A 13,635-nucleotide genomic window follows, 5' to 3' on the forward strand; every position below is an offset into this window, starting at 1 on the left:
TTCTTCGTGTTACTTAAAAGGAAACGGAGTCCTGTGTTTTGGATGTGGTTTGTCACCTCCAAGACTCAAGTTGAGGCCTGGTTTACAGTGCACAAATGTTGGAAGCTGGGGCCTAGTAGGAGGTGTCTGGTTATGGGGTTGGATCCCTCAAGAATAGATCTATGCCATGTCTATTGAGTTCTTGTTCTCATGGGAATGAATTAGTTGTCATGAGAGTTGATCGCTATAAAGTGTACCCAGTTTATAGTGTGTGTTTCTTTGCATACATTTGCTCACCTTTCTGCTTCTCTGTCATGTTGTGACACAGTATGGGCCTTCATCAGAAGTTGAGCAGTTGCCAATACCATGCTCTTGGACTTTCCAGTCCCCAGCATCATAAGTCACGTAAGCTTCTTTTCTTTATTAGTCACCCAGTCTTGGGTATTCTGTTATAGCAACACAAAATGGACCAAGAAACAGACCGCTTGACAAATGTAGTATGTTGCTCTAGACTATGCAGCTAATAAGTGATAGAACTCAGAGGTAGCCCTGGACAATATGAATTAGGGGTCTAGAAACTGTGCTTAATAAATTATTCAGCGTATACTACTTCTTGACCCTAAGGAACCAGGCCTAGTGGCTAAATAAATCCAACAAAGAAGGGCATCACAGGTGCTGCTTTGAGTAGGATAGCATAAATTTGTTTTGCACATCTTGACTTTAAGATTTCAGTGCGCATCAAACCAGAATTTCCAATTTAGCAAATAAAAATACATGATATCCAATTTAATTTGAATTTCAGATAAACAATGAGTATTTTTTAGTATAAGTACATCCTGTGCAATATTTATCAAATGTTTATATTTAACAAGTCCTGTATTTTTTCTGGCAACCCTAGTTCAAAGTGAATATGTCTGATTGGTAGTTGGGAAATTAGCTCCAACGGTTTTAAGAAGAACAAGGATTAGAACTATAAAGTTAGGTGTTGTTAGTTACTAAATTGCACGTGTGTATAAAGGTCTTGCTGCCTGCCAGGTCCTGTGTTAGGTGCTGCAAAGAGGTGATAGTTGAAATAAATAGATAAAACCCGTGAATCAAAACATATAGCAAAAGCAAAGCAAGAAAGCAAATAGAGAAACACTGATTTTCAAAAACATTTTAATGGGTAAGAAATGGCCACAAAATCAGAGGAAGAAAAGATATAAGGCTTGAAGCACAGGCAGAGTTGATATTCCATAAAATCTAGTGAGCATGTTGGCAGAGCCAAATGCCTCATAATATTGATGAGGATGAGGCCCAAGAGAAGGTCATTACATTTGGAATTTATCTACTAAGGCAGACGGTTGCCTGAAGATAGTGACTCATTGTGCTGCTATGAACAAAATCTTGCAACATTAAATACATTTACACTGTAAGCACATTTTTTTCTCTCCATAAAAAAAAAATTATGAGATACTGGATCTGATTATATGACTATGAAGGAACAGATCTGTAGAAAGCCAAGGACAAAGATCAGTGATTTAAAAATAATTGCACTACGAGCAAATATTTAAATTAGTGTGTTTCTGTTTGTTTTAATGCAGATGGACAGACAGAAAAACTAATTAAAGTTGAGGAAGGCATAGTGACTACAGAGTAAAGAAACCTAAAACTTATCTATATTAGTTTTCTATTACTGCGTAACAAATATAATATATATTTAACATATATATAATATATGTAACAAAATAACAAATAAGAGGCTTAAAACAATTTCAATTTATAGCAATTTTAACTTCAACTTCTCTAACTTTAAATCCTTGAATGCAGGGGCTTTGTCTAATAAAATGCTCTCGTAAGACTCAACTGGAATCCTCATGTGCGTATTGGTAATATTTATTGGGAAAGGGAAGGGGATTTACCCTTTCTTTAGAAAAATCATGACACTATCATCAGAGATATTTTTAAACTATATCAGCATACCATATATGTTAAGTTAATTTCAATATTATTGTGTTATAAGAATTTTATCTTAAGTACAATAACAGCTGCTATGGCTCACCAGGTAAATACCTGAGATGTTTCCTGGCCACAAAGAATGAAATAAGCTGATATGAAGTGTCCACTTATTTGTGGTCTCCAATTTAAATTAGAGAAGGCAGGAAATAGTTTAAGAAAAGTAATTGTTACTATTTTGTGTTAGAGGAAAAATAACACAGTCTTAGAACTTTACAGGACTGGTTTTGATATAAGTTCAGATCTTTGTAAATATGTTTACTGTTATTTACAGGAGATGGTTTTAAAAGTTTAAGAAAATCCATACATAACTAGAATTTATAAGATAGATAAGTTAGTAATTAAAGTACTGCAAAATTATTTGTTTGAAGAATGGGTTCCAAAAAATCATTAAAAATTCCAACCCTCATTCTATGCTAAGTGTAAAATACTAATCATTGTTCTTATTAATATAATAAGTAATCATTATTTATCATATATGATTTACCAGATACAGGGCTGAAAATATGTGTGGTGTGGTGTGTATGTGTGTGTGTGAGAGAGAGAAAGAGAGAGAGAGAGAGAGAGAGAGAGATAGCTGTCATATCTATCTTATGAGATCAATGTTAACATTCTCATTTTACAGTTGATGGAACTAGAGCTAAGAATAATTTAAGTAACTTTCTTAAGTAGAGTCATGTGCCACTTAACGACAGGGAAATGTCCTGAGAAATGTACCATTAGATGATTTTGTCATTGTGCAAACATCACAGAATGAACTTACACAAACCTAGGTAGTATAGCCTACTACACACCAAGGCTATATGGTATAGCCTATGGCTCCTAGGCTATAGACCTGTGCAGCATGTTACTGTACTGAATACTGGAGGTAACTGTAACACAGTAGTATCTGTGTATCTAAGCATATCTAAACATAGAAAAGGTATAGTAAAAAAAAAATTACAATTTCATAATACACTGTTATATATATGGTCCATTGTTGTCCAAATATTGTTATGTGGCCTGTACAGAGCTAGTAAACTATGTTTCCTATTCCATGAATGTACATACCTAGTAAATAGTGGAATTAATTTAAAGTCTACATATGATTTCTGTTCAAAATTTTGTAGCATTCCATCCTTTGTATAGCAGATGGTGCCCTTTCATGATTATTGTTTTTAGCAATTCATAGCTCAGAAAAGAGAGTCAAAAATGTAATATATATGTATATGTATATATACTCACATTATTCATAGATGTGTATATTTTTGCATTGCTATATTTTGCATACTTCTCATATAAAACATTCTGTACTTATTTCAGGGTACTCAAAGTAGGTCTGCTCTACACTAATTAGTCTACTAGGAACATAAATTAGCAATGCTGTTCAGAGGATTGATAAAAAGAAAACAGATATATGTGAGCAGTATATAATTTTCTACATAAATGTTGTAAGTAATGTTAATAATAAAATGATCTTTATTTAAAAGAATGTATATATGGATTCACTGTTTACCTCACCTCAGCATTCATTGAGCACTTCCCACATACAAGACAATGTATTTGTCCCTGTGGAGGTCTGCTGCCTTCATTGAAGCTAAAAATCTAATGGGAAGTCAAAAACACTTATAAATTATTTTATGTACTTGGAAAAAGTAAAATAGTTCTGCAGGAGAGAGCAGTGACCTCCAGCTGAGTTTACTGGGGAAGGCATGGCAAAGATGATGATCTATCAGCTGGGTCTTAGAGGATTTCAGCAATGATGAAGAACATTCACAGTAGAATGATTTTTTTTTCAAATTCCCAGTAGATTTTTTTTTCAAAAATGCAGAATTAAGTGTAGGGCATTCATAGAATAATAAATAATTTGGTTTTTATGTAGATACGAAAGTCTGAGCGAGATGATAAAACTAAATGAATCAGATGAGTCAAAGTTGGGGAGAGCCTCAAAAATATCAGTTTGTCATGTTTATATGTTCCTAAGAGTAAGGGGAATACAGTAAACCTTTTCTTCAGTGGGAAAGTAAGGTAATCAGACTTATGTTTTACAAACTTAAATCCAGATATGAAGTAAAAAACAAACAAGTTAAATTGAATATAGAAATGGAATTGAATAGGCAGGAGGCTATTGAAAAGACTCATTGTAGTTATTTATATGATGCATATTATCTATTTTTTTAAATTTACAAATGAGGAGGTAGAGTCCCAGAGAATCTTAAGATGCATAGCTAGTATTGGGTGAGAGTCAAACCAGTTCTAACCTTCTAGTTCTGTTTGATTATTATATTGATATTTCTTTCTCTTCAAATCTTTATTTTGAGCAATTTCAAAGGTGTCTGAGTAACTTAACAGCTATGTTTAAATGTAGACATGAGGTTGTTATGGTATTACCCTAAAGGTTCAGAAATATACAGATTCGGACTTAACACTCACATTTTCTCCATGTGAGTTTCCTCAAGTAGGGAGTTAATATAACTTTCTCCCTAAGGCAAGTAAGTGTGGCCAAGTAAGAAAAAAGTGACTGCATTATTAATAGTTAAAACTGGCAGTCAATAGCCCCCTATGTAGAGATTTATAATTGAGGAATTAAAAATGTAACTTGGAGCTCAGCAGGGCTTCCTGTTCCTCCAGCTCACCATCTCACACTCTCCTCACAAACTGCAGATCAAGTCTTAAGTCCATCCAACCAATTGCAAGAAAGGAGATGGTATAAGTAAAAGAAAAGCTCTTGTCTTGAACTGCTTACCTCTTGGAAAATGTTAGAGCCCTGCACTCGGTCAACATTTAAGTCACAATAACATCATCCATTACCTGTTTGACCCAATTAATGTCTTGAGCTTCAAGCTATCACATTGACAATATCTTTCTTTGAAAATAAAAATATAGAGTAAGGAAAGGGCAGAATTTATGGGAGAGGGAATGATTGCCACTTTCTTCTACTTTTGTCATAGGAATATACTGAAACTAACTGTATTAGTCAGGGTTCTCAAGAGAGCCAATAAGTGTATGTTCTCAAGAGAGCCAATAAGTGTATGGGTGTGTATATATATATATATACATATACATACATATATATACACACACACATATATATACTCTGTATACATGTATATGTGTGTATATCTATATATATATATATATACACACGTGTGTGTACAGATGTGTGTGTATATATATTGTTTAACAGTGAGGATATATTCTGAAAAATGCGTAATTAAGTAATTTTTTTTGTATAGACATCATAGAGTGCACTTACACAAACCTAGATGGTATAGCCTACTATACATCCAGACTATATGGGATAGCCTATTACTCCTAAGCTACAAACACATACAGTATGTCACTGTACTGAATACTGTAGTCCATTGTCACACAATGGTAAGTATTTGTGCGTTTGAACATATCTAAACATAGAAAAGGTAGAGTAAAAATATGGTACTATAATCTTGTGGGACCACCATCATATGTGCAGCTCATCACTGACTGAAAGTTGTTATGAAGCACATCACTATATGTGTGTATATAAACAACTTTCATTATATGTGTGTGTATATATATATATATATATATATATATAAAACTTTCATTATATAAACAAGTGTGTGTGTGTGTGTGTGTGTGTGTGTGTATATATATATATATATATATATATATGGAGAGAGAGAGAGAGAGAGAAAGAATGAGAAATAGATTTGTTATAAGACATTGGCTAATGCAACTGTGAAGGCTGAGAATTTCCAAGATCTGTAAGCTGGAGATCCAAGAGAAGGTAGTTCCCGTATGAATGTCTGCAAGCTTGAGACCCAAGATGAGCCAAATTTTTCAGTTTGAATCAGAAGGCAAGGAAAGATCACTGTCCTAGTTCAAAGTAGTCAAGCAGAAGTAATTCCTTCTTATTTAGCCTATTTGTTTTATTCAGATGTTCAACTGACTGGATGAGGTCCACACTCATTAGGGAGGGCAACCTACTTTACTCAATCCATTCAAATATCAAGCTCATCAAAAACACCCTCACAGAAACACTTAGAATAAAGTTTGACTAAGTATCTCGGCATTCCATGGCCCAATCAAGTTGACACAAAAAATTAACCATCCAAACTTCTTTTTTGTTGTTGTTGTGGTTGTTGGCTTAAGCTAGACATCTGGGAGTCCTTATAGACTGATTCCTCTCCCTCACTCTGAAGTTAAATCTGTTGCTTACTTCATTGTATCTATTATTTTCAAATATCTCTTGAATCCAGTATACGCAGTCACCACCACTGCCATTGGAAAGGAAATCAACCTTTATTTTCACCCTACTGTATGTTAGAAACAATGCTCTTGAAGTTCCAATTTCATTAACAGCTTGATTTTTTTTCCCTGATACAAAACTCAAGAGACAACTATACCAGACACAGAAGGAAATAATGATTTTCATACTTTCTGAACTAAGTTCATTAATTCAATTGTTCGTGAAATTTTAATAGTCAATTTTTACCCTTCTTTATCTTTAAAATATAGTGGTTTTAGACATGTTCAAGCAACAGAGCACTTAGAGAAATAATATACCATGAGTGGAATATTATGACACATATTAGACCTAACCCTATTTGACTCTAAAATAAGAGATAAAATATATTTGAGTTTAAATGAATATCTTTGTATGACAGATTCTAATGTAGGTAGGCAGGAGCATGCTCCAAATATTTAACAAAAATGTATTATTGGGACCATTATATCAATTAAAACATTTCAAATTTATCATTTGTTAAATTTGGAACATGACCATTCTTCGATTGGAGTGACAGGAAAAGCTTAGTGTCACTTGCATCCTTCAGAACATATCATGAGATACTTTTTTGTACTACATCCCATGTGTACATTAAACATAAGTGAAAGGGAAAATGTGCCATCTAGAATTAACTTCTTAATTATATTATAAATCATAATCCTTTCAATTTCCAAGTTTCTGACACCAACGGCCATTTCCTAAAGATCATTCATGTGTTATTACATTAGTTAGTTGAGAAAATAGAAGCAGATAACACTTCACTGGATAGTGGCAGAGAAATTGACCAGTGAAATTTCATTCTAGAGCTACTGCACTCAGTCAAAAACAGCTTAAGCTAAGTGATTCTCAAATGCACCGATCTATGTTGGGTATTTCCCTTTACATTGCATAATGCCTTAGCCTATTTGGGATACATTCGAGCAGAGTCAAAGGAAAACTTGAAGTTTTCAAGCCAAGAGTCACTGAAATAAGATAGGAAATGCATCTGTTGATCCATCTTACTCTGCTACTACACTACTATTAGCCAGCCTTACACGCCTCAAGTCACAAGGAATTACTGTGATTTTGGCACAAAATTTTTAAAATTTTTAAAATTTTGTACCAAAATTTTAAATTTCAGCTCCACTTCACTATTTTTCTAAATTTCAGCTCCACTCCATTATTTCTTATTATGAACATTTATTAATATTCCAAAACTCTAAAACATTGCTTAAGCAGGATAAAGTGAAAGAATTTCTGGGTACAGGAATCACCTGAATAGAGAATTTAAGAGAGGTAGACTTAAATACAATAATTTCTTCACCAATGTTACAATGATCTTTATACCCAAACTAAAGGTTCTTACATTTTCCTTCAGAAACAATGATCTTTTTATTTTATTTGCATACTTCATAAAGATGCAAGATATGTGCATACTTCAGAAGCATAATAGGGACATAGCAACAAATATAGGCTTTGGAGACTCAATTACTTCATTACAGGTTAGAAAACTATAGCTTATAAAGTCAAAGAATATACCTATGGTGATACTCTTGCTTAGTTAGTGTTGGAACTAGAATAAAATCAAACTCACTTTAAGTCCATTTTAGTTTTCAAGGGGAACTCAAATAAGTCAATGCTCTTAAAGTGTGGTCTCTAGATGAGCAGCATGACTGTCAACACTGAAAACATGTTGGAAATGCAAATTCTAAAGCCCACTCCAGAAACTCTTGGGGTGATGGTACCTGAAAATGTATTTTAAGCCCTTCAAATGATTCCAACATAAGCTAAAGTTGAAAACTACTGAAATAGTCTCCAGATTCTGTGAAAGTATAAAAATATAAAGTTGCCAAATGTAAAATATTGATTTTCATAGTTTATATTGGGTTTATATGATTATTATATTCTTGACAGATAAGGGGGAAAATGCAGCAAGATTAAGTGGCTCACCAAAGATCATTTAAAATTAATTTAATCACTGTGGGTAGGACTGGATCATGTTATCTGGTTAACTATGCTCACTAAATAATGTTTCCTTCTTCTTCTCCATAGGCAATATAAACAGAATGGTTAAAGGATTTAAGAAGTGTTTGGGAAATAAAATCAACAGGAGTGAGTGACTGATGAGTTGAGAAAAGTGAAGGAGATGATGCCAGCGATGGGAATAATGAGTACCTTGGGGATGGAGATGAAGGAGCTTTTAATTTTTTGAACTTTGTTGTTTGGGGATGGAGAGTATCTCAAATTTAAGAGTTTATTGACAGATATACAGAGCATATGTTCCAGTCAGCCCTCAGAAATGTCAGTCTCCCTTCCATTGTCCTAATTTCTGCACTCATTGCCTCTCATTTGTCTGGACTAGCTTCCTCGCTAGTGTTCCTGCCTCCAGTTTTTATCATGTGTGATATGGCCTGCATATAATTTCAGATTAGCTTTTCTGATGCATAAACCTAATCACATCACCATCCCCTGCTCAAAATTCTTCCATCACATCCCAACACTTTCCCTCCCCTAGCAGGCAAAGTGTCCAAACTGCATTTGAAACCCTCTACTGTTTGGACATTTTTCATCTCCTAGCCATATCTGTTGCAACAATATAATGTGAGTTGTCTATTCTATGAAAATTATTGTAACTCAAATATATTTTTCCCTTAAATAAAGCCTATAGAGGAAGACAATGATTGGGATCAGTAATAGCTGTTGAAAAGCAAAAGCTCAACAGGTGATAATGAACAGGAGAGAAAGAGAATCTTAGGTCCTGGGATAGATATTCACATCAAGGGTCATCATTTTTCAGGTGTCAATGTGTCGGCTGATGCTGGGTGGTGCCGCATAAACCCTACTGGCTGATTCTACTCCTTATTTCATGTTTTAAGAAATTAATTGTTAAAAACATTTCAACTTTTATTTTCGATTCAGAGGGTACATATGCAGGTTTGTTGCATGGATATATTGTGTGATGCTGAGGTTTGGGATTCAGATGATCCCATAGCCCAAGTAGTGACCATAATACATAACAGGTAGTTTTTCAGCCCACACACCTTTTCTTTCTTCCCACATCCGGTAGTCCCCCAGTGTCTATTTTTCTTATCTGAATATCCAAATGTACTCAGTGTTTAGCTCCCACTTATAAGTGAGAACATGCAGTATTTGGTTTTCTGTTACTGCGTTATTTCACTTGAGATAATGGCCTCCAGCTGCATCCATGTTGCTGCAAAGGACATGATTCCACTTTTTTATGGCTGCATGGTATTCCATGGTGTATATATACCATTTTAAATTCAGCCTACCATTGACACACACCTAGGTTGATTCTATGTCTTTGCTATCCTGAATAGTGCATCTGAGTACATGTTGTCTTTTTGGTAGACTAACTTATTTTCCTTTGCATATATATCTACTAATGGGATGGCTGGGTTGAATGGTGGTTCCGTTTTAAGTATTTTGAGAAATCTTCAAGTTGCTTTCTAAAGTGGCTGAACTAATTTGCATTCCCATCAACAGTAAATAAGCATTTCCTTTTCTCTGCAGCCTCGCCAGCATCTGTTGTTTTTTGACTTTTTAATAATAGCCATTCTGACTGGTGTGAGATGACATCCCATTGTGGTTTTTATTTGCATTTCTCTGATGATTAGTGTTTATGAGCATTTTTTTCATATATTTGTTGGATGCTTGTATGTCTTCTTTTGAGAAGTATCTATTTATGACCTTTGACCATTTTTTAAAGAGGTAATTTGTTTTATACTTGCAGAATTGTTTAAGTTCCTTATAGATTCTGAATATTAGACCTTTGTCAGATGTACTGTTTGCAAATATTATCTCCCACCCTGTAGGTTGTCTGTTTACTCTATTGATTTTTGTTTTGTTTTGTTTTGCAGAAGCTCTTTAGTTTACTTAGGTCCCACTTGTCAATTTTGTTTTTGTGGCAATTGTTTTTGGGGACTTAGCCATAACTTCTTAGGAATTCTTGACATTAGCCAAGGCTGATGTCAAGAAGGGTATTTTCTTGGTTTTCTTCCAGAATTTTATAGTTTGAAATCTTACATTTAAATCTTTAATCCATCTCAAGTTAATTTCTGTAAACCATGAAAGGTAAGGGTCTAGTTTTATCTTTCTGCATTAGCCAGTTATCCCAGCACAATTGATTGAATATGGAATTCTTACCCATTGGTTAATTTTGTCAACTTTGTCAAAGATAAGATGGTTGAAGGTATGTGGCTTTATGTCTGGGTTCTCTATTTTGTTCCATTGGTCTATGCCAATGTTTTTGTACCAGTACCCAGCTGTTTTGGTTACTGTAGACTTCCAGTATAATTTGAAGTCAGGTAATGTGATGCCTACCCCTGGCTTTGTTCTTTTTGTTTAGAATTGCTTTGGCTATTTGGGCTATTTTTTGTTCCATAGGAATTTTATAATTTTTTTTTTTCTAATTCAATGAAGAATGATGTTGGCAGTTTCATAGAAATAGCATTGAATCTATAAATTGCTTTTGGACTGTATGGCCATTTTAACAACTTTTATTCTTCTGATCTATGAGTATGGGCTGTTCCTTTTTTTCCAGGATTAGATAGAGTCTAATAATAGTCCAATTCTAAAATAAAAGTTATTATAGGTAAGACCATGACATTTCCTAACACTTGATTTTAATACATTACGGTAATTTTCTAAAACAACTCAGAGGAACCCATATTTACATTAGGCAGAGTATTTATGAAAAAATCTGGCACCAGGTGTGTGTGTGTGTGTATATATATAATATATATATATACACACATATATATATATTATATATATACACACATATATATATTATATATATATACACACATATATATATTATATATATATACACACATATATATATTATATATATATATACACACACATATATATTATATATATATACACACATATATATATACACATACACACACATATATATACACGCACATATATATGCACATATATATACATATATACACGTGTGTGTATGTGGTGTGTATATATATGTGTGTGTGTGTGTGTGTGTGCATGTACGTATCTCAAGATTATATGTACTAAGAAACAGGTTGTATATCTTAATAGCAGTACTAGAGTAAAGAGTTTCAGGTTTGGATTTATAAATGATTTTCAACGTGTGGGGTTTGGAAAAGGAGCAGACATCTCGTTTTCAAAACCTGAAGTTTTTCTCAGGACTGAAGTCAAAATCATAACTGCCACAGAGGGAAAAGGGAAGTTTTTTGCACTTTAATTGTTCATCTGAGTCCAAAAGTCCAGTATCCCTGAGATAGGAACCACTCTAATAAGAAGGTAGTGAACAGGTTTCTCCCAAAGGAAGATTGTTTGTTGCTGAATTATGTCTACTGCCCTGATCATCAGGTATATACTTTGCATCTTCAAACTTAATGCTTGGCAGCACCAAGATATTTCAGTAATGGTTCATCATAAACCCAATATTCTCCATCTTTATGAAATAACCTTGTCTCCCACTGAATTTCTTTCTCTTTCCCTCTTTCCTTTCTTGGGGTTCTGCTCTTTTATTCAAGCCTGTGCTTTGCTTCAGTTGCTGATTTTTAAGTTGAAAGTGACATCCTTCCAAAGGCTGCGGGATTCTTACTTGTTCTGATCTTCTAGCTTCATCACTTTCTTCTTGATTACAGGCAACTTCTTGGTATCTGCAAAGGATGTATTTTCCCATGTTGCATATTTTGCATACATCAAACCATTCCATTCCCCTTCAGTTGAGCAAAAAGACTTCTTGTCACTTGGAGAAAAAAATCTCAGCAGTAATTTTGTGCTTCTTGCCCACATAGAAGGGTTTAGTATGGAAGATGATATTTGCACTCTAGCCTGTTTGGAACAATTAATACAACATTCTCCACCTAATTTCACCCAGGACCATGTGAGGATAGACCTTCCATAGCCATTGAGGAATGTGAGAATGTAATGTTCATCATAGTCTAGACATGAGACACAGCCCTGCCCTATGTTGTGAACACCAATTGACATCCCAAGGAATTTTGATTTGGCCCAGACATGAGCAGTGAATTGTATCTTCTTGTTAAAATACTCAACATAAAAGGCTGAAATGGGTGGATGATGGGAAATCTGGTCAGCCACGAATGTTACAGTATTTTTGGAAACCCAGGGAACTGGTCTTTCTGAAACTAGTTTTGTGTTCTCTTCAGTATCATTTGGTAGTGTCCAGTGACACTGAAAAATCTTGCCCAAAATGGGACTGTATGGCTTTTTGGCAACTGACCCTTTCCTTCTTGCATGAAAGGCTGAGAGGTATGATTTCACAACCAGAACCATTCTATCCTTGTGATCCTTCTAGTCACTAATGGACACAAACAGGTCCCAGTGTGCAAAAAGTCTGCCTACATTTCTAAAAGAGATGTTCTTTCAAGAATAAACCTTGGAAGAACTACCTTAGTAAGATCCATCCCAAGCCTAACCTGTGACAAGAGATGCATGATAACGCTCTTGTGCTCCCTGCGGACCCCGCCTACACATCATCATCTCTACTGTCATATGAATCAAAAAGGTCAGCATCACTTGTTCCATTGGACATGGAAGAATTAAGTGATTCTCTAGTATCTGGATGTTTTAGACTATTTCCTGAGCTGCTGCTGATGTAATTACCTACAAATCTTGATTGAACAATTAAAGTCTTTTGATGACAAGCTTCAAAACTACAAAGAAGATGAACAGAGAAAGAAAATGGAAACTCTCAAAGAAACAACAAATAGCATAGTAGAATCAGCTAAACACTGCATTGTGTTGCTGCACATTGCTAAAGGGTAATGCAGAAAAGCACGCAGATGGAATAAGTACTATTAATCCTGTAGATGCAATCTATCAACCTAGTCCTTTGGAACCTGTGATCAGCACGCCTTCCCAGATTGTTACTTCCAGAACCTGTTCAGTTGTGTAAGTCAAAACAGCAGCATCCATCTTCCCTACCAGTTGGACCTGTGTTGGCTACCTTGGGACAGCATAAGACTCTTACACCAAATAGTACAGGCAGTGGCCATTCACCACCGAATAGCAGTCTAACTTCTCCAAGCCATGTGAACTTGTCTCCAAATACAGTCCCAGAGTTCTCTTACTCCGCTAGTGAAGATGAATTTTATGATGCCGATGAATTCCATCAAACTGGCTTATCCCCAAAGCACTGGATAGATTCTTCTGGATCTGCCTCAGTCCTGATACACAGGAGCTTGGGTGTTTCTTCTTACATTTGTATCTTTTTTTAATTTCTTTCAGTGGAATTTTGTAGATCTCCTTGTAGCGATCTTTAACCTCCTTGGTTAGCTGTATTTCTAAGTACTTCATTTTTTTTTTCTCTCTATTGTAAATAGGGCTGTGTTCTTCATTTGGCTCTTAGCTAGAATATTATTGGTATATAGCAATTCAACTCATTTTGTACA

The 13,635-nt window shown here is 34.7% G+C and overlaps 2 pseudogenes, besides 1 other annotated feature; one reads left to right on the top strand and one right to left on the bottom strand.

Annotated features, from left to right (window-relative positions):
• Window positions 306–507: a silencer, noted in NCBI's record as "fragment chr11:90836591-90836792 (GRCh37/hg19 assembly coordinates)". NCBI's record gives its function as "represses an EF-1alpha promoter that drives an FKBP-Casp9 reporter gene in an ReSE screen in K562 erythroleukemia cells {active_cell/tissue: K562}" and the evidence as "EXISTENCE:reporter gene assay evidence [ECO:0000049][PMID:32094911]".
• OSBPL9P2 (oxysterol binding protein like 9 pseudogene 2) lies at window positions 10,759–12,885 on the bottom strand (annotated as a pseudogene).
• OSBPL9P3 (oxysterol binding protein like 9 pseudogene 3) lies at window positions 12,834–13,430 on the top strand (annotated as a pseudogene).

This window comes from Homo sapiens, chromosome 11 (assembly GCF_000001405.40).
Source record: "Homo sapiens chromosome 11, GRCh38.p14 Primary Assembly".
Taxonomy (NCBI): Eukaryota; Metazoa; Chordata; class Mammalia; order Primates; family Hominidae; genus Homo; species Homo sapiens.